Genomic DNA, 27,042 nt, shown 5'->3' with positions numbered 1-27,042 from the left:
GGGTTCTCAGAGAAATGGAATCAACAGTATGTCTTTCTCTCTCTCTCTCTCTTTCACTCTTTCTTGCTCTCTTTCTCTTTCTCTCTTGAGATTTATTTTTAGAAATTGGCTTATGCAAGTGTGGGGCTGGCAAGTCTAACAACTGCAGGGCAGGTCAGGAGGCTGGAGACCCAGGGAAGAGTTGATGCTGCAGTCTCTAGTCTGAAGGCAGTGCAGAGGCAGAATTCCCTCTTTCTCGGAGGATCTCAGGCTTTTTCTCCTAAGTCCTTCAACCAAGTGGATGAGGCCACCCGCATTAGAGAAGGTATGTTTGCTTTCCTTGAAGTCTACTGATGCAAATGTTTATCTCATCTACACACTGCCTTCATAGCAACAACTAGACTGATGTTTGACCATGCAACTGGGCACCATAGCCCAGCCAAACTGGTACATAAAATGAATTATCACAGATGGGGAGAGGCTTCATGGGGGAAAGCTGGTTAGGAGACATAACAGTACTCAAAGAAGCCTGAGAACAGGTCTTTAGCTGCTCCCAAAGTATCCAAATTGATGGCCCATCAGAAATTAGGAAGCCATCCCATGGAAAGATCTTTTCCCCAGCAACAGGTACATGAGTATGTGCTGTGTGTTGAACAGAAGGACTCCCACAAGAGGATCCAAGGAATATGATTGGTTTAGTCCTGGCCTCACCATCTCCCTTAAAAATGCCAGTTTATTTCTCTGCATATTTACCTTATTATTTTTTCATTGTCCTCTGCAGATTTATGATTTTCAATTGGTTCTTTTTTTTTTTTTTTTGAGATGGAGTGCAGTGGCATAATCCCAGCTCACTGCAACCTCTGCCTCCTGATTTCAAGCGATTCTCCTGCCTCAGCCTCCTGCGTAGCTGGGATTACAGGTGTGCACCACCACACCCAGCTAATTTTTTGTATTTTTAGTAGAGATGAGGTTTCACCATGTTGGTGAGGCTGGTCTCAAACTGCTGACCTCAGGTGATCCACCTACCTCGGCCTCCCAAAGTGCTGGGATTACAGGTGTGAACCACTGTGCCCGGCCCTTTGATTTTTTTTTTTTTTTTTAGGAGATAGGTCTTGCTCTGTCACCCAGGCTGGAGTGTAGTGGTGAGATCACTGCTCACTGCAGACTCAACCCCCTGGGTTCAAGTGATCCTCCCTCCTCAGCCTCCCCAGTAGCTGGGACTGCAGGTCTGCATCATCATGGCTGTCTTTATTTATTTATTTTTCAGTTTTTTAGAGAGAGAGTCCAGCTCAGGCTGGACTTGAACTACTGGGCTCAAGCAATCCTCCCACCTCAGCCTCCCAGTGTGCTGGGATTACAGGTGTGAGCTACCATGCCTGGCCTCTTTCCCCCTTTAAAAATATCAACTAAATAAATAAATAAATAATAAGCATTTTGTCTATTGAAACATCAATATTTTTAATATTTTAATGACATACAGTTTGCTTTTTGAATATGTAGTTCATTCCTATGACATAAATTCAAGATTCAAAAGGTTACACAGTGAAAGTAATTATCTCTCACTCCTGACTTCAAGCCACCTAAAGTGTTTCCCCAGAGGCAGCAACTATGATCAGATTGTTGATTTTGTTTTAGAGATATTCTATGATATATAAACAGCTGAGTATAAATACTTAAAAAAAGTACAATAACACCTTGATTTTTTTCACTTAAAATATTTTGAAGATTGTTCCACTTGAATCTAGTTAAAGCTGCCTTTTTATTGCTACATAATATGGCATTGTGCAAATATACCATAATTTATTTAGTCAGTCCTCATCTAGATTGTTCCAGGCTTATGCTAGTAAGACAATACAGACATAAATATCCTTGAACACACACTTTCCCTCACCAAACCTATTTTTCAGGATACATTCCTAGAAGTAGAATTGCCAGGTCAAAGAGGATGTACATTTGAAATTTTGACATATTAGCAAATTGTCCTCCATAGAGGCCATGCCAGTTAACACACCTACCGCTGATTATTTTCAGCTCCAACTTGCAAATTTTAGAATATAACATCACATGGCATTTTTTCCAAGGATAGTGATGGGATTTTGGCTGATTCATTCTCTCCTTTTCCCTCATGCCCCTGGAGGCCAATCACAAGGATGTGGAAGTCAGCTGCCTGGGAATAGTCTGAGGAAAGAGAACCAAGTGAAGATAACTTATCCATAGAGGCACTGACCCCGGAGATTCACCTTATTACACCTGGATCTGGTTTAAGTACAAAAATGTGGGTCTTCTCTTTGTGATTTCTCCACGTTCACACAGCCCATACATAGGTGTCAGGAGTCGAACTTGAACCCTGCTCCAGAGCGTTCTTGTGACTTTGGAGATCATAGATTTGTAAGCATGCCTATGTGAGCTACGCCATGCACATCGTTTAGGACAGCACCTGGTACACAGCAAGCACTCAGCAGGGTCACTTATTGTAGTCCTCGCTCGTTAGGAGGCAGGTGTGGAATGAGTGAGGCAGGAGGTGCTGGAGGGGATTTGCAGTCTGGATGTTGCTGGGGCTGGGGCTGGGGCTGGGGCTGAAGCATCAGAGATGGCTTGGATGACCTCCCCAGTCTCTCCAGCTGTGGAACTCAAACAGCTCCAGCTAGGAAGCTGTGTTTGAGTCATGGGGGCAGATGAGCATTTTTCTTAATTGAGCAGGAGCTAATGAGAGCTGTATTTCTTTGAATCTGCTCCTTGGATGAGAACAAACATTAATGACCACTGAGCTGGAAAGGCCAGATACAATTTACCAAATGAGAGAGCATCTTCCCCCATCAGTTATAAAACCGTGTGCAGAGGACCGGGTCATATTTTCCAACAGCGAAAGTCCATCAGCAGCTACGGTGTTAAATGCAGAGCGAAGGACCCATAAACTGGCAGCCGTGTGTGAAGCAATTAGATGTGGCACTGCCCCCGCAGCCACGTTCCAGCAGCCGCCTCTGTTGGAGCTTTCAAGGCTCAGCAACTCTTAGGATGACAGAGGAATAATAATGCGCTGGTTTTCTTTGCGGACACAAAGCAGGCTGCATTGGGGGAGCTCCTCTCTCCTAATGGCAACAAGATTCAGAAGCCATCCTCACCTGGATCTCGAGGGAGGGGCAGAGCTAAGTTCTCCCTGGGTGGCACCTCTGACCAGCTCCCTCTGCCAAAACAGAATACATAATCTGCTGATGGCCAAAATGAAGGACATTGGACACACCTGGTGAGAAACCCAGACTCCAGCAGAAGTAATAGTGCTCTGGCTGGCTTCTTCTCCTTTTTATTTTTATTTTTTTCCAAAAAGAAGCCATCTCACTATGTTGCTTAGGCTGGCCTCAAACAAGTGATTCTCCTTCCTCAGCCTCCCAAGGAGCTGGGACTATAGGCACTCACCACCGTGCCCAGCTTCCTTGTTTTTAATGGTGCACACAATCTACCATTTCACATTTTACATCTCCCATTTCACCAAGTGCCTAGTTTTTTTACTCTAGCTTAGTAGCCCAGAGAGTATTCCTAAGTCACTGGGGCTCAGTGAGGTTGGTGGTTATGTGAATAGGTTTCTGAGATGGTATAGTTAGCTTGGTTAATTTCTTCCCTTAAATGCCCATAATTTGAGGTATTAAGGATATTGACATTAGCCCCGAAGAGAACTGGTCAGGGTAATGTCTGGGCATGGAGGAAGAATGAAGGCAGGATATTATGGGGTTTCTCTTTCTCCTTTTTCTGACTATCTCCTTCGAGAGCTTGGAGCATAAGTGAGTCCTGTTGACTGGATTTTTAAGGGAGATGGTGAGGCCAGGACTAAACCAATCACATTCCTTGGATCCTCTTGTGGGAGCTCGGTCCTTCTGTTCAACACACAGCACATACTCATGTACCTGTTGCTGGGGAAAAGATCTTTCCTCTGGATGGCTTCTTAATTTCTGATGGGCCATCAATTTGGATATGGCCCTGGGTGTGTGGTGTGGGTGTGTCTGAGTGGGCGTCACTTTTTCACCAGGAGCAAGCCTGCCTGCCCTGTCTGCTGCATGCTCCTGGCCAAGGGGCCACTGCCGTCCCTGCCCCAAGGCCTCTGTGAGATCCTGCTCCACTCCACATCCTGAAAGCTGCTTGCCTTCAGGGTCCTAATGGTGCAAAGAATCCTCTGAAGTTTCTGAGAAGAGTGGGTTGGAAAGGGGCGAGGGGCTCCTGTGTTACCCAGGTACTGGGAGCATGGTCGCCTGTGTGGCCGAGGCAGCATTGCTCAGTAGTTGAGTTGACCATCTCTCCTAGAATCTTGGCTCCACCTCTTACTCTGTGTCTTTGGGGGAACTACTTACCTTCTCTGTACCTTGGTTTCCATATCTGTAAAATATGGATAATAGTAGTACCTACTATTGTTATGTCATGAAAATTAAGTGACAGCATGTATGTAAAGTGATTAGAAAGGTGCCTTCAGTGCCTTCTGTAGAAGGAGACCCCCTCTCCTGCCACCACAGCTGCCCATTCTTTAACATTGCTACCTCATGCTGTTATCTGACTTCTTTCTAGGGCTCAAATCTGGTCTGGGTGGGATGGGGTGGGGCAGGGAGGAAGGGGGACAGCTGCTAGGTTGTCTCAGGCTCGGCCTCCTTTCTTCCCTTTGCACACATGACTTCCCTCTCCTCATTCTGGTACCAAAAACGTTGATCGGTTCCCAAGCATATCAGTGTATGGACCTGGGTGCCCACAGGGGTCACAGTTCTGCAAACTGCATGTGTGAATCCAGCTGGGTCTTGCTGGACCCCTCTGAACTGTCCTTAGGCCCATTTTACATCCATTGCAGCCTTCTGGGGCCTTCTCGCCCGCTAAAGCCATCCTGCCATCTAAAGCCAGTGCCTCGTGTTTGAATTTCTCTCCCAGGCATGTTGTCATGATCAACAAAATCGCTCCCAAGCCTTTGCAGATATTCTCAGTGCTGCAATCAGTTTTCCACCGGACACTGTCAGGCCCAGTCCAATATTTATCAGCTATGCCTCAAAAGGCTGTTTCCTTCCAGAAGACCTGTGTACAGGCAACACCGGTTTGTCCCTGTGTTGGGTAGCATTAGGATCCTTGCGTGTCCCTCAGTGTTGAGTGGCATTATGATTTGCGTGTCCCTCAGTGTTGGGTGGCATTAGGATCCTTGCAGCAGCAGAGCTCCTCAATCTCCTTCTGTCTAGGAGAGCATGGGCATTTTTGTCCTCTCTGTGCCCTGTTTTGACCCTGGGCATTTTCTAGTCCTACTCTGGTAGATGGAGGTGAGGACTTTCACTCGCATCCATGTGAAGAGACCACCAAACAGGCTTTGTGTGAGCAATAAAGCTGTTTATTTCACCTGGGTGCAGGTGGGCTGAGTCCGAAAAGAGAGTCAGCGAAGGGAGATAGGGGTGGGGCTGTTTTATAGGATTTGGGTAGGTAAAGGAAAATTGCAGTCAAAGGGGGGTTGTTCTCTGGCGGGCAGAGTGGGGGTCACAAGGTGCTCAGTAGGGGAGCTTTTGAGCCAGGATGAGCCAGGAGAAAGAATTTCACAAGACAATGTCATCAGTTAAGGCAGGAACAGGCCATTTTCACTTCTTTTGTGGTGGAATGTTGTCAGTTAAGGCAGGAACCGGCCATCTGGATGTGTACGTGCAGGTCACAGGGGATATGATGGCTTAGCTTGGGCTCAGAGGCCTGACATTCCTGTCTTCTTATATTAATAAGAAAAATAAAGTGAAATAGTGGTAAAGTGTTGGGACGGTGAAAATTTTGGGGGGTGGTATGGAGAGATAATGGGCAATGTTTCTCAGGGCTGCTTCGAGCGGGATTAGGGGCGGTGTGGGAACCTAGAGTGGGAGAGATTATGCTGAAGGAAGATTTTGTGGAAAGGGGTGATATTGTGGGACTGTTAGAAGAAACATTTGTCATTTAGAATTATTGGTGATGGCCTGGATACAGTTTTGTATGAATTGAAAAACTAAATGGAATAAGAGAAGGAGAAAAACAGGTATTAAAGGTCTAAGAATTGGGAGGACCTAGGACATCTAATTAGAGTGCCTAAGGAAATTCAGCATAGTCCTGTCAGCAAAGATTATTTATTTACTTCAAGAGTTAAGAGTGGCAGTTTGGGGATAGCACCGGGAGATATCAGCTGTGATGGCTTGGAGAAACAGTTTAAACTGGCAGTGTAAACAAGAGCAGGGCATGTATGAGTAGTTGAGAACGGTGAATAGGAGTATGACTAGACAGAAGATAGTAGGGATGACAAGTTTTGTTGGGGCACAGTCTAAGTTAGTCTGGTGTCTGGAGTGAGACTGGGGCCTAATAAAAAGGAGCATCTATATAGGAGCTCAAATGGGCTGTACCCTGTAGCATTCTGAGGACAGGTCTGACTTCTGAGAAGGGAAAGTGGTAAAAGTATTGTCCAGTCCTTTTTAAGTTGGTGGCTGAGCTTGGTGAGGTGTGTTTTTAAAAGACCTTTAGTCCGTTCTACTTTTCCTGAAGACGGAGGACCACAAGGGATATAAAGGTTTCACTGAATACTAAGAGCCTGAAAAACTGCTCGGCTGATTTGACTAATAAAGGCTGGTCTGTTATCAGACTGTACAGAGGTGGGAAGGCTAAACTGAGAAATTATGTCTGACAGAAGGGAAGAAATGACTGCGGTGGCCTTCTCAGACCCTGTAGGAAAGGCCTGTACCTATCCAGTGAAAGTGTCTACCTAGACTAAGAGGTATTTTAGTTATCTGACTCGGGGCATGTTGAGTAAAGCTAATTTGCCAGTCCTGGGTGGGGGCAAATCCTTGAGCTTGATGTGTAGGGAAAGGAGGGGGCCTGAATAATCCTGGAGGAGTAGTAGAATAGCAGATGGAACACTGAGAAGTTATTTCCTTGAGGATAGATTTCCATGATGGAAAGGAAATGAGAGGTTCTAAGAGGCGGGCTAGTGGCTTGTACTGTAGCATAACCTGCCTTTACTGGTGTGTGGCGATTAGGCCTGGTGGAACCGCCATCAATAAATCAAGTGTGATCAGGGTGAGGAATAGGAAAGAAGGAAATATGGGGAAATGGGGTGAATGTCAGGTGGATCAGAGAGATACAGTCATGGGGGTCAGGTGTGGTATCAGGAATAACGTGGGAGGCTGGATTGAAGTCCGGGCCAGGAACAATGGTAATTGTGGGACTTAACAAAGAGTGAGTACAGCTGAAGGAGCCGGGGAACAGAAAGTATATGCATCAGGTATGAGGAAGAAAATAGATTTTGGAAGTTATGAGAAATGTAGAGAGTGAGTTGAGCATAGTTTGTGATTTTTAGGGACTCTAACAGTATTAAAGCAGCGGCAGCTGCTGCATGCAGACGTGATGGCTAGGCTAAAACAGTAAGGTCAAGTTGTTTGCACAGAAAGGCTACAAGGTGCGGTCCTGGCTCTTGCGTAAGAATTCTGACTGCACTAAACCATGCCTAGGAAGGAAAGGAGTTGTTGTTTTGTAAGGGATTGAGGTTTGGGAGATTAATCGGACACGATCAGCAGGGAAAGCACGTGTGTTTTTATGAGAATTATGCCGAGATAGGTAACAGATGAGGATGAAATTTGGGCTTGACTGAAGTAATGGGCGCTGTCTGTGAAGCCTTGCGTCAGTACAGCCCAGGTAATTTGCTGAGCTTGATGGGTGTCAGGGTCAGGCCAAGTGAAAGCGAAGAGAGGCTGGGATGACGGATGCAAAGGAATAGTAAAGACAGCATGTTTGAGTTCCAGAACAGAATAACGGGTATGTGATCGGTTGCCAGGGAAGGAGTAGAGATGTCCCATACTTGTGGGTTAAGGTGGGGGATATGAGAGGAAGACGCGAAGGAGGCTTTGGGATGGGGAGAAGGGCGGCGATGAGATGCGGCTGTAGTCCAGGAATAGTCAGGGAAGCAGATAATTTGGTTAAAATATCTCAGCCTAATAAGGGAACTGGGCAGGTGGGAATAACTAAAAAAGGGTGCATAAAAGAGTGTTGTCCAAGTTGGCACCAGAGTGGGGGAGTTTTCAGGGGTTTTGAAGCCTGTCTGTCAATTCCCACAACAGTTATGGAGGCAACAGAAACAGGCCCTTGAAAAGAAGGTAATGTGGAGTGGGTAGCCTCCGTATTGACTAAGGGGACGGACTTACCTTCCACTGTGAGAGTTACCGGAAGCTCGGCGTCCGTGATGGTCTGGGGGGCTTCCGAGGTGATTGGGCAGCATCAGTCTTCAGCTGCTAAGCCAAGAAGATCTGGGAAGGAGTCAGAGAGCCTTGGGCCAGAGTTCCAGGGGCTCTGGGAGTGGCTGCCAGGTGAGTTGGACAGTCCAATTTCCAGTGGCGTCCCACACAGATGGGATGCAGCTTAGGAGGAATCCTGGGCTGCGGGCATTCCTTAGCCTGGTGGCCAGATTTCTGACACTTGTAGCAAGCTTCTGGGGGAGGAGGTTCTGGAGGAATGCCTGGCCGCTGAGGTTCAGGCGTTTGGAAGTTCTTGTGTGCTAGAGATGTGGCTGGGGTTTGTCTCACAGTGGAGGCAAGGAATTGCAACTTTTTTCTATTATTTTACTCCTTGAAGGCAAGGTTAATTAAATCCTGTTCTGGGGTTTGAAGGCCAGAATTTAATTTTTGGAGTTTTATTTAATGTCGGGAGCAGATTGGGTAATAAAATGTATATTGAGAATAAGACGGCCTTTTGACCTTTTAGGGTCTAGGGCTGTAAAGCATCTCAGGGTTGCTGCCGAACGAGCCATGAACTGGACTGGGTTTTTCATATTTGATGAAAGAGCCTAAATGCTCACTGATTTGGGAGAGATCTGATAAAGAAAAAGGAGCATTAACCTTGACTATGCCTTTAGCTTCAGCCACCTTTTTAAGAGGAAATTGCTGGGCAGGTGGGGGAGGGCTACTCACGGAATGAAACTGTAAACCGGACCGGGTGTGAGGAGGGGAGGTGATAAAAAGATTATAGCGTGGAGGAGCAGAGGCTGAGGAAGAATTGGGACCTAGCTCGGCCTGGTGAGGAGCAGCCTGGGGAGGAGGGGAGAGGTCAGATGGGTCTGTAGAAAAGGAAGATTAGAAAGACTCAGTGACGCTTGGGGTTGGGACTGGGGACAGGCGGGAGGGAAAGAAGGAAGATTTGGGACGAGTTGCACTGGGCACAGAGACTAGGGAGGGACTGATGTGTAAAAGAATGCCTAGACGTCAGGCACCTCAGACTGTTTGCCCATTTTATGACAAGAATTATTTAGATCTTGCAGGATGGAAAAATTGAAAGTGCCGTTTTCTGGCTGTTTGGAACTACTGTCCAGTTTGTATTGGGGTCAAGAGGAATTGCAGAAGAAAATAAGACATTTAGGTTTTAGGTCAGGTGTGAGTTGAAGAGGTTTTAAGTTTTTGAGAACACAGGCTAAGGGAGAAGAAGGAGGAATGGAGGGTGGAAGGTTGCCTATAGTGAAGGAGGCAAGTTTAAAGAAAAGGGAGAGTAGAGACACGGAGGGAAGTGGTTCGGGGGTTCTTACCCTCCAGAAAAGTGGGAAAGGGGTCGGGGCACAGAGATACAAGGTCAGGGCATGGAAATAAGGGATCAAGGCGCAGAGATATAAGAGGTTGGGGCGTGGAAATAAGGGATTGGGGCGCAGAGATATAAGAGGTTGGGGTGTGGAAATAAGGGATCAGGGCACAGAGATATAAGAGGTTGGGGCACAGAGATACGAGGTTGGGGTACTTGTCCCTCCCCTAGAAAAGCAGGACTTGCCGCTAAGGGTGAAGGAGAAGGGGTTGGGGGTTTCTTGCCCCTGCCCCAGAAAAGCAGAGAAGGGGTAGAGACACGGAGAAAAGGGGTTGGGGAACTTGCACCTCCCCCAGAAAAGCGGGATTTGCTGCTAAGGGTGAAGGACCAAGGCAGGCGTCCCTGCATGGTCTCACACCTCTGAAACCTGGGTTAATAATCAGGTGTCCCTGCAGTGATTAAACACCAAAGGAAGGCTGCCTTCCCTAGTCCGTGACTGGCGCCAGAGTTTTGGGTCCACGGATAAAACGTGTCTCCTTTGTCTCTACCGGAAAATGAAAGGAATTGAAATTAGAGAAGGGAGAGATTGAAGTGTGGCACCAAGATTGAAAGGAGAAAGAGGTTGAGGGATAGTGAGGGAGGCTGGAGAAGAGAGTAAAAAGAGGTCGCTTACCCGATTTAAAATTGGTGAGATGTTCCTTGGGCTGGTTGGTCTGAGGACCTGAGGTCATAGGTGGATCTTTCTCAGGGAGCAAAGAGCAGGAGGACAGGGTATTGATCTCCCAAGGGAGGTCCCCCGATCCGAGTCATGGCACCAAATTTCACTCGCGTCCGTGTGAAGAGACCACCAAACAGGCTTTGTGTGAGCAATAAAGCTGTTTATTTCACCTGGGTGCAGGTGGGCTGAGTCCGAAAAGAGAGTCAGCGAAGGGCGATAGGGGTGGGGCCGTTTGATAGGATTTGAGTAGGTAAAGGAAAATTACAGTCAAAGGGGGTTGTTCTCTGGCAGGCAGAGTGGGGGTTACAAGGTGCTCAGTAGGGGAGCTTTTGAGCCAGGATGAGCCAGGAGAAGTAATTTCACAAGACAATGTCATCAGTTAAGGCAGGAACAGGCCATTTTCACTTCTTTTGTGGTGGAATGTCATCAGTTAAGGCAAGAACCGGCCATCTGGATGTGTACGTGCAGGTCACAGGGGATATGATGGCTTAGCTTGGGCTCAGAGGCCTGACAAGGACTGTGGCTGATTTGCCATTATTTATGGGAGGTGGAAGTCAGTTATAATAATTTACTTTTTTATGAAGCAATCGTGGTTCCCTTCTGTTTCATCTTCAAATGATGTGCCCCTCTTTTATCTTTCCCTTTGACTTATAGCTTCTCCCCACAACCTTCTCTCTCCTTTTATATTAAAATATTTAGGGGCCGGGTGCAGTGGCTCACGCCTGTAATCCCAGCACTTTGGGAGGCCGAGGTGGGTGGATCACAAGGTCAGGAGATCGAGACCATCCTGGCTAACATGGTGAAACCCTGTCTCTACTAAAAATACAAAAAAAAAAAAAAAAATTAGCTGGGCGTGGTGGCGGGCGCCTGTAGTCCCAGCTACTCGGGAGGCTGAGGCGGGAGAATGGCGTGAACCCAGGAGGCGGAGCTTGCAGTGAGCGGAGATAGCGCCATTGCACTCCAGCCTGGGTGACAGAATGAGACTCTGCCTCAAAAAAAAAAAAAAAAAATTTATTGGTCATTCATTTCATAGTATGTGTTTGTACTCTTAGTATCAGCTTAATGAAACTGTTCAGCAAATAAAATGGTCAATAATTTAAACATATACATTTACTAAATATAACTTTTATTTAAAAAATAGAAGTTTTTTTTAGAATTTATTAACTGAGCACTCCCTTTAAAGGAGTGAGTCCTACACTTTGGAGAAATGCACTCCTACCTCTGTTTTTGCATCTCTCTCCCTTCCTCTCCCTCTCCCTTTCTCTCTCTCTCTCTCTCACAAACACACACACACTGAATAATTGATAGTAATCAGAAATCTGTAACTTTTTTTTCATTTGAACTGGGGCTTATAGCATAGAGATAAAAATATGGGCTATGATAATCCAAATTTTGGGACTGACTGCACTCACTAGTGATATGCACCTGGGAAACCCACTAGGTCACTCTCAGCCCCACTTTCCTCATCTTTAAAATGAAGACATTTGGCTTCTGATTCTGTAAAGTCCCATCCACCCCTTTTATTCCACAGCTCTCTGGATTCTGAAGACCAGGGCTCCAATTCACAGTGTCCATTAATCCAGGAGCCACAAAGGCAAGTGCTTATTTGCATAGAAATAGAATGCTAATCAGGTGCAGACAAAGCTCATCAGAATCAAGACAGCTGTCAGGACAACACCCTTCTAAAGGTGCCCAGACAAGCCGAGCAGAGGCAGGAGAAATTAAATTTAGCTGGAGTAGTGGAGTGCTATCAGTTATCGGCGGCCCCAGGCACATTAAATGGCATCTGGCTTCTGAGTGCTTAGCAGGGGAGCTCTTATCGCTTCAGTCCTGGAATTTGGAACCATTTTCTGTTAGAGTAGAGGGATTAAAAACAATGTCTGGGCCTGATGGACAGTGGTGAACAGCCAGCCACATGGTGCTGTTTATTGTTGGTGGATAAGGAGTCTTGGCTGAGTGAAGCCAGGAGGCTGAGGTAGGGAGATTCTGAATCACCAGCAGACTACCAAGGTCACGCAGGAAAGTCTGGCCGACTTCTCTGTAGCTAAGTTTTCATCTTCATTTTGTGAACAGTTATCATCTGACTGTTATTATTAGAATAAAATGCAATAAGGTGGCAACAGCCCTTTGGAAAATTATAAATACCCTTGACATGAGTTTGAACAGTGCGCATCCACTTAGATGAGAATTTTCTTCTACCTCTGTTACCCATGAGACAGCAAGACCAGCCCCTCTTCTCCCTCCTGTTCCTGCTCAGCTGACTCAAGGTGAAGACAACAAGGATGAAGCCCTTCAGGATGATCCACTTCTACTTAATGAATAGGACATAGATTTTCTTTTCTGTGTGATTGTCTCAATAACATTTTCTTTTCTCTAGTTTATTGTCAAGAATGCAGTATATAATATATATAAAGTACAAAATATGTGGTTAACTGACTGGTTGTGTTACTGGTCAGGCTTTGGTCAACAGTAGGCTATTAGTTAAGTTATTGGTGAGTTAAAAGTTATACATGGATTTTCTATTGCGCAGAGGGTTAGCCCCTTAGCCCCCATGTTGTTCAAGGGTCAACTGTGGTGTGAAAGTTGTCATAACAAAAATGGAGTCCCTTGTGTCAAACCCTAGCAAATGGAGCTGGGGAAGGCCATGGAGGGCTCTCATGCACAATTTTCCTGATAATGGGAACTATCACAAGAAATGTTTTCAAACTGCAGCTTACTACGTGAGTCACTCAAGGCAAGTTAGCAGCACAAGGACGGCTAGCCACTTATACAAGAACACCTGCTTGTTTCAAAAACTGTCTCACAAGCCCAGTTCAAAACTACAAGGGCTTAAACATAACTCCAAGATTACAAGTCCGACCTAGCAACTGCTGACACTTGTCAATCAGAATTTGCCAGCTCTTGTTAGATGATGCCAACACCAACGAGCTTTCTTTCAAAACAACTTGTATACCCTCCTCTCTCCCTAGTAAAACTCTAACTTTCCTTTGTTTTCTGGACATACCAGAGACCACACTGGTCTCTGTATCTGTCCGAAATTGTAATCCTATTTCTTTGTTTATTCCTAAATAAATCCTTTTTATGTATTTTTATTTCAAGTTGACAGTACGATCCATACAAATAATCAAATTTCAGGCAACCAATAGTCATCATTTATTATATGCTTGATACTGGGAATGGTAATAATAGCCAAGACTTATTAAGCACTTACTAGGTAGATACTTTGTAAGTACCATCCTTATCCCCACTGGGGAGTTTAGAAAATGGAGACAAAGTAATTTGTCTGAGATCATAGGTGTTGTGTGGCTGGGCTGAGGCTCCAATTCACTCTGGAACCTGCAATCTTAGCCATAATTATACATGCCCTTTAATAATAATCATGGCCTTATTTAGAAATAAATCCAGTCTTTTATGTAATATATATTTCACTTATATGAGATATTATAATCTTGATATATATTTTAGTTAACAAAGAATAAAGCACATTTTCGTGTCTTTAAAAATTGCTCCTTGACATAATCAAAGGCTACATATTATAATGAAAGGAATTACTATAATCTAAATAGATACACTTAGTTTCTTTCTATTACAAATAATTTTAAAAGGAAAATTTGTCTATAATTTGTATCATTTCTCAAAAGTGAAATTATTGTGTAAAAGAGTGTGTATGTTTATTTTAAATTTTAAAAATTACAGTCCAGAATTCTTTTATTTTTGAGACAGAGTCACCCAGGCTGGAGTGCAATGGAGTGATCTCGGCTCACTGCAACCTCCGCCCCCTGGGTTCAAGCTATTCTCCTGCCTCAGCCTCCCAAGTAGCCGGGATTACAGGCACCAGCCACCATGCCTGGCTAATTTTTGTATTTTTAGTAGAGATGAGGTTTCACCATGCTGGCTAGGCTGGTCTTGAACTGCTGACCTCAGGTGATCTGCCTGCCTCGGCCTCCCAAAGTGCTGGGATTACAGGTGTGAGCCACCATGCCCGGCCCTAAATTTCAAGTATATCTAAAAGTAGGGAGAATGTTGTTATGAATCCAGCATTCCCATCACCAGCTTCAGCAATTATCAACACCCAGCCAATCTTATTTCATCTATTCCCTCCCCACAGAGCAATTATTCTGAAGCAAATCCCAGATGCTATCTCATCTATAGAGATTCCATTTTGTATTTCTAAAGGATTAAGACTCTTTTAAAAAATACCTGCAATATCATTGTCACATCTAAAAAAATTAACAATAATTATTTAATATTGCCAAATGCCTTGTCAGTTTACATTTCTTTGATTGTATTATAAACAGTCATGTGCCATATAACGATGTTTCAGTTGATGAAGGATCACATATATGAAGGGTGGTACTATAAGGTTATAATACCATATTTTGACTTACCATCATGTTATAATTTCCTACAGTATTCAGTACAGTAATATGCTGTGCAGATTTGCAGTCTAGAAGCAATAAATAATGTAGACCTGCTCAAAAATGAGGAAAGCCAAATGTTCTCATTGGATATTTCCTTCTCCTCTCATCACTTAGTCCACTAAGTAACCCTTTTCCTGTAAGGGAATCATATATAGTGTTAAAAAAAAAAAACTCAAACATGTATGTTTGTCTATGTATGTATGTGACAGTGGCTTTTAATTGATATTCACCAATTTTCTATATCTATGTACCAGAAGCTCAAATACAATTTACTTTCATATCCCCTTCTCTATTTCACCCCCCCAAAAATAAACTGTTTATTAAACATTTTTCTTTTCATCTCCATCTTCCTTCAAGAGGACACACATACCCTCCAAATTTTCTCTATACAAGGAATTCTACCTTGATGCTAATATGGCCACTGACCTGTCACTAACTAATGAAAAGAATCAGGCAGTATTTGCTCTGATTGGCTTGTTGGTGTAATGAGCAACATTTATGAAAAATTCCGTATATTTTTCCATCTCATTTTTATTTTTTTCCCCTTTTGTTCTTTGTTCATATTTGTTTGGCATCTCCCAGAATTTCCAAATTCTGGGATTGGAGGATTGGAGGCACAAAGCGGGCAGAACTCAGCATCACATCAGCTATCTCTGGGTGAGGGAGAGTTGGAGTTGGTAAGAAAAGAGAAAAGTGTCTGGTGCAGAAGACACTTTGAGGATGATTTTTCACATAAATGTTTCACAGAGTATCTTGTGCAGGTTGCTCAGAGAAGCATCTAATTGTATCGAGGGACTCTCAGGTGAAGAGGTGCTGATATAACGTTCTGCCCCAAGTTAAAATGCATTGTTTTAGGGAAGTAAAAAATAAAGAAATGAAAAGCAGTCTCTGCCATCTGGGAGCCTTATACTCCTAGCTGGACCTCAGTGCTGTTGCAAGCTGGCCTGGAGCTCATAGCTGGGCCCTGTTCTCCTGCTTACATAAACAATCTCACAGAGCAACCAGGACCAAGCAAGGTCACTCTGAGACCATGATGAAGTGAGACAAAGCAAGGCCATGTGCAACCCATAAAATACCAAACATCTCCCTCTCTCAGCTAAAATGAGTGACCGCTGTTTCTTTATCAATTACAGTTTTATCCTTGCTCTAGTCTGCCCTCCCCATGGAAAATATTAATATACCAAATAATAGGATTCTCCCCACATTCTGGCAGCATCCAATCTAAACCAAGCTCCCACTTCCTTAGACCTTCTCCCTGCCAATGATCTAATCAAATCAAAGCCCCAGTCATATGATAGGCTCCTTCTAATACCCTCTTTGTGGTTCCTCCTGGAGAACACTCTTCCTTGCTGCAATGAATAATAAACCCAGTTTCAATGATGGAGTGTTCCTGATGGGCTTTGGCTGAAGGGTATTGACAGAGGTAAATTTACAAACCATATTGTTTTCTTTTCATTTAATCATTGACTAGTGACAATGAAAGGCAGATTTGAGACCATTCATTCCTTCCTTTTTTATTTTGTTTTACTTTGCTTTATTACCAACAGCAGAACTCTTTTTTTAGACAAAATCTTAAGTCATATCCCAGTATAGGAAGCAGATGAAAGGGAAACTGCTCTGTCACAAACATGGCAGCTCCTGGGCCCCATGAGCTTGGGTCCCTATGCCTATTCCCACAGTGGCCTGAAGGCACTTCTGCTTGTTAGAGGGACCCATGTAGAAAACAACTGGTCTAGCCTAAATTCCTTATAATCTGGATTAGGCATCCAAGATCCAGTTTTGTGAGTTCCTCAAAGTCACCCTGCTTGTTAGGGGAACATCTTAGGTGAAACTTCTGGTTTCCTGACTCCCAGGCCAGGGCCAGAATTCTGCAAGAGTCCCTTCTCTCTTCACAGGAGTTCAGGGCCAGTTCACCAGCTCCAGTGACCTGTTCTGGGTTGTTCATGTGGACATGGTTGTCTGACTCTCCCCAAAGATGCTCACTGCATCAGGACCCTGGCCCCATCCAACGTCCAATACCTCTGCACTTTCCCTTTTCTACTTTCTTGACCAATAGCCACAGTAATGACCATGGTGGTGCCATGATAATCACATAAAGATTCCCTTTAATGCATGACTGTGGGGAAGAGTTCTACCAACTGTGGAATTAATATGAGGCTTAGAAATGGGATTCCCAGTTAAAAGCATTTGGTCCTTTTTACTAACTCTAAATGAACTCTAAATACTTGAATCCTTGAGGTAAAAGCACTGGTGAGGAAAGGAAGATGAACTTGGGAGTTTTGTGAAAAGAAGGCCAAGAATCATGGCCTCAGAAAATAGCTTGAACAACATCATTCTGCAGCAATGTGAGGAGGTGTGAGTCTGCTTTATGCAGCATTTGCACTTACCAGGAAGAAGAAATCATGTCTCTTCTTGCCTGGTGCACAGGAATGCTATACACATACTAGAAAGTGATCTACACTCCCTGAAAGAAAGGGGCCATAGAAGTCCAGGGGGAACATATCAAAACATTTTTTGTGATGTTTTTCATGATGTTCCTCATATTCAGAAGGGATGTCTGTTGTGGGTGACTGAAATGTCATATAAAGTGAGAAATGTTCTTGTCAGCCCCAGTTCAGTAGACAGGGTAAGCAGTCAGCCCTAATGAGTCAAGTGGGGCTAAGAAACAAAAAGGACCATGCTGAGTTTGTTCTGTGTCTAACACAAGGATCCAGATGGAGATTCATGATGTGGCCAGACCTCTTCCACGTGAATTTAGGCTGCTTCCATTATTACAAGTCATACATCTTTCTGGGTCAGGCTGTGTCACAACTCAGGCTAGTTTTTAAAAAAAATCACATTCTGACCTGTTCATAAACCACAGTGCAAAGTAATGACCCAGAAACACCAGGAAAGGGATCTGTAAATGTATTTTCTCATCAGACCAATTGGAAAACAAACACCACTAATTTTTTTTGTAAAAACATTATTAATATATACATTTTTATCTTTAAGCTGCCCCATAAATAACAATTAACTGCCCTTGAGCACTTACCAAGTGTCAGGGAAGAGTAACCAGGGCTAGGAGTAGGTGAGATGAGGAAGGCACTTATGTTGCACACAAAATTTAAGGGTGCATCAACAAACTCAGTAATCAAGATAAATAATATTTAGATGCAATATTTAAAAAAATCATCAAACTCTGTCCCTCTTGTTATTGCCTATAAATCTTTAACCTCTGACTGATGCTTATAAGTGCTTCCACACATCAATGTCTTCCCTTTGGGAAGAGGCCAGAGAGTTAGTTCCCACTCTTTTTGCCAGGTGATGACACAGTAAGAAGGTGACTGTTGAAACCAGGAAGTATATTCTCACCAGAACCTGACCATACTGGCACCCTGAACTCAGGCTTCCCAGCCTCCAGAACTTGGAGAAATACCTACCATTTAAGACCCCAATCCATGGTATTTTTGCTGTAGTAGCCTTAGCTAAGGCAGACCTTTCAGACCTTTATAGAATTTGTGTGTCTGTGTGGGGTACGTACTTAAAAAGAGAATGCCTTCCCAGGTTTCTTTTGGTGCCTAGAAAGATGTGAAATGCTTTTGATGTCCTTAGGTAGTGACCAAAAATGGTGAGGCCTGAGTATCTGGACCTTCACCTCTGAGATATATCTGGATACATAGAGACTACTGGAATGCTTTATGGTTTCTGGTGCAGTAGGAAGAGAGACCATCCAAGTTACAGGCAGGAAAAATGCTTCTGTTCTTCTCTTCATTCATTCCTGAGTCCCTGGGTCATCCAGTGTGGGCTATTACTCACCACCCATTCTGTCCCTACCTCAGCCCTGCATCTGCTTCTTTCCTGGTGGATCCAGCTTCCCTCTAGGGATACACACTTGCTGGATATTCATGCTCCCAGACTTGCTTCAAGTTGGGACTTGTGTTTATGGTCCAGTCCTGGCAGAGGGGAACATGAGGAGGAAAGTGTGCTGTGTGTGTCTGTGTGGGGGTCTTAAAAAAAGGTTGACTTCCTAATGAAAAGGGAGCCACAGGGAGAGGCACTAGTCCCTGACTGTAAATGATGCTGGGATCTGCAGCAGATATCTGATAGCCCTGAGAGTAGATATTACCACACCAGGAAGTGGCGGAGCAAAAAGGCAGACAGAACCTGGATCCTATCAATGAAATGCTGCAGCAATTGAGCAGTCACCTTTTCTCTGATCTTCTTGTTTTATATCTTTATTGCTTGAGCTACTTGAATTGGATATTTACTAACTTGCAACCGAAAACATCTGAATACCTTCTTACCCCCAACTTCCCTTGCGCACTCATTATCCTTGGAGAGGTGCCCAAGGCAGCTCCCTCCTCACAACTTACTGACGTAGTTTCTGGTGCACATTTCTTTTGGCACCAGGCTTATGAGCTGCACACACATACACACGCATACATACGCACACATATGTGCATGTGTGTGTGTGTGTGTGTGTCTGTGTGTGATGTATGTTTAACTACACGGAATACGGATGAGAGGAACAGAGTATCAAAGTTTAAAGTGGCAGTGGCGATGGCTGGCTCTGGGTCATGGAGGGTCTGGTAGTGAATAAGGTGCTCCACGGTTGTGTGGGTGCAGCCTGTCGGCTGTATTCAGGGATTGCTCATGCTTTTCCTGAGGCACTTGCCAAGAGAGCATTTGCATTCCATTAACTCAGCACTTGCAGGAAAACCCAGAAAAGGCTGAATCTGCTTTTCAGGGTTAAAGATACCCGAATACTGGGTTCCTGCAAAGGGATGGAAGGCATTTACAGAGGATTCAGGAAAGGCGAACCAATACTCTGGATTCACGTGACTAATTAGAAGGACTGCTTGATGCTGTGCAAAGAATAGAAGCCTTGGGAGAAAGTAACCATGCAACCTTGGAGTTAAGAGCTAAGCATGGGACCACTAGATGTAGTCAGATGCGAAACTTGGGTGTTAGGATATCAGATGTCTAAAGTTCAGAGGAGGGCATATATAAGAGGCTGAGGTTGTTTTGACATATGGAAACCTGGGCTTGAGAGAGTTAAATGCAGAGGATGAAACAGTTTGGGAAGAGCAGGGCTGGGAGCAGGATTGAGACACGTGCAATGGGGAAGAAGAGGACTCAGCCAACTCCAGTAGGAGGAAGGCCACCAAGGTGGACTTCTAGAACATCACTGGTCACCCAGTGGTTTGGCTGCAGGGAGCAGGCATTAGTCTAGGCCAATTTTCCACACTGGGAAATAGAACTTAAACATGGCCCAAGCCTGATGACATATCAGAATTCTTGGAATGAAAATTTCTGTAAAAAATGCACGTGGCCACTCCAATTCCCACCCTACTCCCACCCCTGAGATTCTGATGCAGTTGTCTGAGAAATTCTAACTTAAATAGTCCCTGAAATTTATATTTTTTGGAAGGTTTCCAGGTGATTATGATGAGCAAACAGGTTTAGGGACTTCAGAAATAAGCAGTGTCAGTGTTGACAGAAGGGTGTGGAGCAGGTGGTAAATGAACTGAAGCTGACTGGCAGTCAGGCCTCAAGGATCAGGGGTCAAGGATGTAAACTCCGTTCCCGGTCAGTGTAATTTCCCTAGAAATTACTGAAATACACAACTGTGGGCTGACATCAGCAATCCTGGGGAGATTATGAAATGTACTCATCATATAAGGTGTGTGCTGGTGTTCCTATTTTACACATGATCAAACTAAGGTTCAGAGAGGGTAATAGATTTGCTCAAGATTACAAGTCCAGTAAGTGGCAGAATTGGGAAGTAGAATCAGGTGTTCATTCATCCAGTGACCATGGGAGAGTGACCTCAAAAGTCAATGAGGAACGATGTTGTGCACTCAGGAGAAACAAACTACAGAGAAGAAAAGAAAGAAAAGAAGAATACACTGGGCTTGATTAGAATGAGAGTAAGCAAGGCAGGGTATCTTTGTTTGTGTTGCTGTAACAAAATAACACAGACTGGGTCATTTATAAACAATGGAAACTTATTTCCTCACAGTTCTGGAGGCTGGAAAGTCCAAGATCACGATGCTGGCCTTTGGTGTCTGGTGAGGGCCCTCTTGCTGCATCTTCAGATGGTAGAAGAGAGAAAGGGCAAAGAGGGCCTAAGCTCATTCCTTCCAGACCTTTATACATCATTAACCCATTCATGAGAACAGAGCCCTTGTGATTTCATCACTTCCCACCTCTTAATACTGCCACAATAGGGATTACGTTTCAACATGAACTTGGGGAGGAACACATTCAAACCATAGCATGGCAGAAGGAGAGTACGTTATTAGAAATGAGAGAGAGCTCTCTTATTTTCTTCATTTGGCTTCATTCATTCATCACATATTTATTATTATTTCCACAAATACAGTTTGTCCTTCCTCTGAGTTCCAGCTTCCCAACTGTGTGAATCCCCCTACCTCATCTTTCTCCAACGCCCTAAATGATCCCTTATTCTCAAACCCTTTTTATGACCACTTTCTTGTCACTTGGCTGGAGGTCATGTAATATGGAAGCTCTTTAGCCTTCTTTGTACATGCACTTCTTTTCAACTCAATACCTTGGGGCACTGAGAGAGTAAAGTGGACTGTTGGCTTCTGAAAGGAGTTATGAATCCCTTTGTGGGTGTATTGGCTTCTTTCACTTTGTAAATAATGCCTCTTCAGCAGCCAAATATAGAAATCACCCATTTGTCTGAAAGTACCTAAAACAAATCCATAACTAATTGGTTTTTATGATCCTTTTTGGATCTTTTGATACTTTATGCTAAGAACCATAGAAACATTTAGGTCTCTAAAAGAGGAAAATTCAACGTGTCAATATATATTTACAAGAGCCAATGAGCCTTCAGAAGCATCTGCCTTTCTAACCATGAATAATGGGCCTTTCAGGACAACTGGGTGCATGAGCTTTCCAAGGCAGGAGGAAAATGCCATTTGCTATGGATAGTCCACAAAGCACTTTATGATCTTCTGTTGTTCAGTTTGAAGAGTAGGAAAAATAAACTCCATGCCGTCTTCTTTCTAGGGTTCACCTATCAACAGCAAGAACTATGTTCGGCAGTAGACATTCTGGGCAGCGATATATTAGGCCTTAAATTAAAATAGCCATTAAAATATTATGCTAAGCATTTTCTTATTTACAAGACACTAATTTATTGTAAAGTAGTTAACTTTCTTCTATGGCTGAGTTTAATACATTTCTTTCAGAAGAACCATACAAAGCATGCTCAGAGAAAGGAGACTGTGTTGCTTTTTTTAATAAGCAATGTAGCTGTCACCAATGCTGTAACCAATCAAAGATTGATTAATGCATCTTTAATGCAGATAATTTATTAGATAGTAAGGGTTTTTTTCCCTCTAAATTTTCAGTAGGAGGAAATCGCTGAGTTTTTCCATTTTAAATTAAAGGGTTTCTGCAATTGGTTTTTCACTAAGCCTTAAAATGGATTATCAAATTCAACTATGTAGCAAACATGCTTAGGATGAAGCTTGTGCTACTCTCTCATACTTTTATGTCTGCTTGAATACCAACAAACCTCCTGACAGCAAGAACCAAACAAGACGCATATCGCGACCAAGGTGCCTAGTAGAATGCTATTGATGTATAATGATGTATAATAGGTGCTCCATGAATATTTGTTGGATGAATAATGTCTTAAGCTGTTTTTCTTCCTGTAGAGTATGCTTGTCCTAAGCTTGTATATCAGTGATGGATTGCTACGTAGCATTCACACTTCCTCATGTCTCTCTTTGTCATCTACCAGCAGCCAGGATGGGAGGCAGGGTGCAGAGGCGAAGAATGAATTAGCCCAACTGTGTCCCTGTCTTCTTCACTGAAGGGGGTTGAAACTGTCTTGTCCTGGCAATGCCAAGTGGTCAGCCTGCAGTTCAGCTTCATAAGATAGCCAGTGGGAAATTTCCTATTCAAGGTGGCGAAGAGCTCTAAGATGCCAAGGTGAAGCTGTCACAGAAATTCTTAAATTTTTGTGTCTAATGGCAAAGAAGTATAAGTTGAACAATTGTCTCTGAGAAAGACTGGGACACATAGTTCAAAAGGGATTATGGGTTGAGCATGGTGGCTCACGCCTGTAATCCCAGCAATTTGGCAGGCTGAGGCAGGCAGATCACCTGAGGTCAGGACTTCAAGACCAGCCTGGCCAATGTGGTGAAACCTCGTCTCTACTAAAAATACAAAAATTAGCTGGGCATGGTGATGCAAGACTGTAATCCCAGCTACTTGGGAGGCTGAGGCAGGAGAATGGCATGAACCTGGGAGGTGGCAGTTGCAGTGAGCCAAGATCATGCCACTGCACTCCAGTCTGGGCCACTGAGTGAGACTCTATCTCAAAAAAAAAAAAAAAAAAAAAAAGGAATTACAAAAAGAAAAACTTTTCCTTGAAGTCTCTTATTTTAAGTTTGCATTGCAAGCCATAATATACCCTTTGTTAAAAAGGTTAGTCTCTGGCTGGGTGCAGTGGCTCAGGCCTGTAATCCCAGCACTTTGGGAGGCCAAGGCGGGCAGATCACGAGGTCAGGAGATCGAGACCATCCTGGCTAACATGGTGAAACCCTGTCTCTACTAAAACAAAATACAAAAAATTAGCTGGGCGTGGTGGCAGGCACCTGTAGTTCCAGCTACTCGGGAGGCTGAGGCAGGAGAATGGTGTGAACCTGGGAGGTGGAGCTTGCAGTGAGCCGAGATGGTGCCACTGCACTCCAGCCTGGGCGATAGAGCGAGATTCCATCTTAAAAAAAAAAAAGGTTAGTCTCTAGTTGTTAGTCTCCATAAATGTAACAAAGATTTCAAATAATCTTGATTTCAACCAATGGAACTGATTATGTTGTATCTAGACTACAAGGTTGTTTACATATCTTTATACCCCCTCAGCTCCTCACCCATCTTTGTTAAATAGGTATATTATGATAAAATAAGCAGAAGAAAAGAGATACGTTATGATTATAAAGAGGTATATATGAACGAAACAAAGGAAACTGAGCATAAGTCTTTGGTTAATGTTGAGTTGAGTATAATTTCTGGAAAAGTAGAATGAATTGGAAAGGACCAATGTTGAATATCATGTTCAGAGCCCCTACTTAATGTTTTCTTCAGACTTGGGTTCACACTATTTTGGAAACATAGGCCCCCATAAAAATGATGACAGTGTCTTCACTGCTTGCCAAATTATATCAGGGTAAACACCAAGGACAAATGCCTGATTGTGCCACAGAGTTGGCATAGTGCCAGATTTTCAGCCATAGTCCCTGAAACCTTGAATAAGTGTCTCTAACTGAGAAGTTAAGCCATGTGGGTCTTGTGATGGTTGATTACAAAATTTTTTTATTTCTATAGGTTTTTGGGGAACAGGTGGTATTTGGTTACACGAGTAAGTTCTTTAGTGATGATTTGTGAGATTTTGGTGTACCCCTGTGACAGTTAATTTTATGTGTCAACATGGTTAGGCCATGGTATCCGGATAATTGGCCAAACATTATTCTAGATGTTTCTGTGAAGTTTTTCTTGACATTTAAATCAGTAGACTTTGAGTAAAGCTGATGACCTCTCATAATCTGGGTGGGTGAGCCTTATCCAATTGGTTGATGGCCTTAAGAGAAAAACATTGACGTCCCTGGGATAGGAGGGAATTCTGTCAGCAGACAGCCTTCAGACTCAAACTACAATTCTTTCCTGGGTCTCTAGGCTGCCCGCCTACCCTGCAGATTTTGGATTTACCAGCCTCTATAATCACATGAGCCAATTTCTTAAAATAAATCTCTCTATGCACATCAAATTGGGTCTGTTTCTCCCGTGAACCCTGACTCATGCAGGTCATGTGGTGGACTGAGAGTGGACCTGCCAGACCTGCTTCTAGGTGCCCCAGCCCTGATGGCCAGGCCTACTTGCGTAATTTATTCCTTCTCCTGGAATGCCCCCAAACAATAAGAATCTCACCCAGTTCCCTGGTAATGCAAGAGAATCAAATGATGCAATCATTCTCAGCACAGTAATTTTTTATTTTTTCCTCTAGCCTTACAAAAAGCAGTATATTCCCCAACATGGAAAGTGAGATTTTTCACATTTGATTTGCTTATGGTATGACAATACCTTTTGAGGGCAAATATTTCAAAGTTTTTTCTTTAAGCAGTTGGTAAAATCATTATCCTTGGAGATGTGTGATATGTTTAAGGAGGTTAGATGAAAGCATTTAGAGTGGCTGTCAAGGACAATGGCCCTTGCTGTCTCTTTTGTTATCCTCAAGGTTAAGGAAGAGATGAAACAAAACATCTTTTGAACTAGGATACAAAAATGACTGCATCTGTGACTAAAATTTATGAACTGAGTGTGTGTAGTACATTAGTAGGTCTAGTTAATGAAAAAGCTAAAGGCAAGAGAGACAAAAGAGTATTAACAATTCTAGCTGTTAGTCTCCATAAATGTAACAACAAAGATTTCAAATAGTCGTAATTTCAACCAATGGAGCTAATTGATTGTGTCCTGTCTAGACTGCAAGGTTCTTGTTTACACATCTTTATATCCCCTCGGCTCCTCACCCAGTGCCCTGTACTAAAGAGATGATCAATAATAGTGGTTGACATACCACCAGCAGCTTTAATTTGTACAAATTAATGAAAGGAAATGTGAGGTCTATTGTCGCAGTTCCTTTGTGTGCTGTATGTACCCAAGAGAATGAGGCTAGCATGATATCAATGTCCTGGAAATGCGTTTAAACAAACACAAAAGTTTTCTTACTCTCCAGGCTGTTCTTTTCCGTATAAAGCCATAGTAAAGCTTCATTTAATTAGCAAAATGTGAATAAGAAAAATATAACCAATTAAGAGGGTGAATACAATAACCTAGGAGAGACAGCATGAGATGAAAATAGACACATGAACGGGTTTGTTGCAGGAAGGGATACATGTCCACCATCAAGATAAGATTGGGGACCCAATAGGATTTTGGAGCAAAGGAGAGGAAGGAGTCTAGAATGACAAGAAGGTTTCAAGCAATGCCCTATTGGCCTTAAAAACTGCTTTGTTCTTTTGCTGGAGAAGATGATATTTTATGTTTTAGTTATAATTAGTTTGGAGATTTAGTGGGGGTTCTTGGGTGGGCACTAGCATTTGGGGAATGTACTCTTATTCTTTGACAAGAGAATTTGGGGATGTATAGAAAATAATTAGACTCAATAACAGACACAGTGTTCAGATTGTTCTGGAGCCCAGTCATACCTGTATCTTTGCCCTAGGTTATTTAGGTATATAGTGGTGGGACACAGGGTGACACTGCAAAGAGTGCTTAATATCACTTAACTGTGATAAATATTCTATGTTGAAATCAGGAACAAGTCAAGGATGCCCATGTCATCACTTACACACATTATCCTGGAGGTTCTAGTCAATGGACAAAAGATTATGGAAAAAAATTACATATAAAAATTAGAAAATAAGAAGAAACGAAGACAAATTATTAGAATAAAATAGAATATTAAAACAAAAAATTAATTGCACTTTTATATATCAGTAATAAGTTAGAAAAGGAACATTTTTAATAATAAAAATAAAAGACAAGAAGAACTAAAACTATTAAAAGAATTGCAAGACATTTATGGATCAATTTTTTAAACTTTATTTTAAAAATGTAATGACTTATATGTCATTAAAGAAGACATATAAATGGAGAGATATACCATATTCATGGTTGCTGCTTCTTGGTAAATTGGTCTATGAATTTATTGCAATTCTTATCAAAATCCCAAAAGCATTTGTGGTAGACCTGACAAGTTGACTATAGAATTAAAGGAGGAACAATACATTAAGTGGTGCTAAGACATTGGTTGCTGTGTGAAAAAGAAAAGAGAACAGGAAAGTGCTTCACATCATATAAAAATCAATCTTGTTTGGGTTAAGAATGAAAGTGTAGAAATCAAAATTAGAACTCTGAAAAAAAATTGAAGAATATCTTTATGAACTTGAGATAGGAATGATATTTTTAAAAAGACACACCTCAAACAAAAGATTGGTAAGTGGGCTATATTAATTACTTGAATTTCTTTTCATCAGAGGAAAGTAGAAAATAAGCTATAATTATGTAAGGAAAATATATTTTAAACACACGTAATCTAATAAAGAATTTATATCTGGAATATATCCAACAAATAATAAAAATATCACCAAAGGAAAAAAATCTCAAAAGAAAAATACTTATCCTGTCTAAATATTTTTAGATACTATGTAGATAGGCAGCAATGTCTGTCTAAATATTTCAATTTACCCAGTAGAAAGATGGGCGAAGGAAGAAATGAAAAGATAATTCATAGAAAAAGAAACAAAAATGACCAATAGGTTTATGAAAAGATGGTCATTCTCACTAGCAATGAAGGAAATGTAAATGCAATAAGATACCTTTCTGTTT

General features: G+C 42.8%; 1 long non-coding RNA gene across 1 annotated transcript in view; it reads left to right on the top strand.

The window, feature by feature from the left end:
• The window catches only part of LINC02150 (long intergenic non-protein coding RNA 2150), a 67,742-nt gene that overhangs the window by 10,408 nt on the left and 30,292 nt on the right, over positions 1 to 27,042 (top strand). Inside the window, exon 7 of the long non-coding RNA NR_104625.1 lies at positions 91 to 304. This is a non-coding gene — a long non-coding RNA (long intergenic non-protein coding RNA 2150). The remainder of the gene's footprint in view (positions 1 to 90; positions 305 to 27,042) is intronic.

This window comes from Homo sapiens, chromosome 5, assembly GCF_000001405.40.
Source record: "Homo sapiens chromosome 5, GRCh38.p14 Primary Assembly".
Lineage (NCBI taxonomy): Eukaryota > Metazoa > Chordata > Mammalia > Primates > Hominidae > Homo > Homo sapiens.
This window is presented reverse-complemented; position numbering and strand designations above follow the sequence as displayed.